A 1556-nucleotide genomic window follows, 5' to 3' on the forward strand; every position below is an offset into this window, starting at 1 on the left:
GAAAATTAACAAATTCAGCTGTGTAACCTTCCAATAGAAGAGACGAAGATACATTGCTGTAGACCCTGAAGAATGTCACAAAATTCCAGTTATACTGAGCTTCTAAAAGCCCGTATGCCTGCAAATAGCAAAAACAAAATGATTTAAAAAGGATGGTAAAACCACTAAAGGGCATAATAAAGTACCTTTTAGTGTCTAGGCTGGCAAAATTGGTACCATTATTGCAAATTTCTAACCATGAGATTGTTCTACTGATTTCTTTTTTGTAAAAGAAATAGGATAAATTTTAGGGAGGATGGCTACCAGACAAAATTAAGCACTAAGATGGTTTGTCTTCAGGTTGCAAAATGAGGGACCGTTTTAAAAAATATTATAGTTCCTCAAATAGTTCTAAAATATCAAAACATTAGAATCCTTTATGTAACCTGGAACACATTATCGTTATCTTGTTTATGTATTTGTTTCCCTTCAATTTAAGACACTCTAAGGAAGAGTTTGCTTCCCCTGTTCTCAGCTAGTTCTGATCTATCGTGTTATTTTCAAGTGTTCTGAATTCTACAGGGCTTACATTTATGACTTTAATTTTCATTGTCATGTTCTTTCCAAGTGCCAATAAAAACTAACTTTAAAAACATAAAAGCAGGAAGCAGTTGACTATGTAACTTTATTTGGCCTATAAACAAGCAAGTTTCTAATAATTGCTCATTTTCCAACTTGAAAATAATAATAGAAACTGTTATAGTGGCAAGGCATTTATTCTAGCTCCTAATTAAATTCAAAATGCATTTTAATTCTAAATGTATCTAAAGGAAATTTAAACTTTAAAAACTGTGGTTGCATACTAACCATATTTATTCTAATGAAAAGTGCCTAGATAAAACAGAATTTAAAATATAGCATATATGAAAAGGAATATAAACAATACAAACTAATTATCTCTTACTCTCTTGGGCAACCTGAAGTTAATTATAGTTAAAACTACTCTCCTTTGTATATTATTTTGAGAACCAGAAAACACAATCACTTGCCATTGATTATTTTTTAATTTAAAATGGTTTGCTAGATGATATGATTTGAAAATTATAATGAGTAATAATACAAGCAAATGAAAAGCTCTGAAGCATAAACATATTTATGTAAATGTTAAATGTGCATAGTCATGACATTACCTAGATGTAGAGTTGGAAGAAGGATGCATTTCATACCCAAAAAGATTTAATTAAATGTGTTTGTCTGGAAAATATATTTCTAAATTAATCATTCCAATGCCATGCCCACCTTGCAGTTTTGAGAAATATATAATCAATAGAAGTTTAAAGTTTTGCATGATTTATGTTACAATATTCAACACACTTTTTTCCATCACTCACTTATTTCAGTCAAAGTCTAGAACTACTCATTCCATCTCCAACTTAGCAAACCACCTCCATGTATAAGACAGAAGTAGTTCTTAAACAAAATTAAGTACACTTTATCCAAAAATATGCCCCCTTTTCCCTCAATTAATGCTTTAAATTTCTTTTTAGAATAAAATACCCAGATGAATTGACATGTTT

The 1556-nt window shown here is 30.1% G+C and overlaps 1 annotated feature.

Annotated features, from left to right (window-relative positions):
- Nucleotides 1111-1280: an enhancer, noted in NCBI's record as "experimental_75511 CRE fragment used in MPRA reporter constructs". NCBI's record gives its function as "activates a minimal promoter by MPRAs in K562 erythroleukemia cells, with activity observed for the introgressed 4:162234913 variant allele {active_cell/tissue: K562}" and the evidence as "EXISTENCE:reporter gene assay evidence [ECO:0000049][PMID:34662402]".

Source organism: Homo sapiens, chromosome 4, assembly GCF_000001405.40.
Source record: "Homo sapiens chromosome 4, GRCh38.p14 Primary Assembly".
NCBI classification, from domain to species: Eukaryota; Metazoa; Chordata; class Mammalia; order Primates; family Hominidae; genus Homo; species Homo sapiens.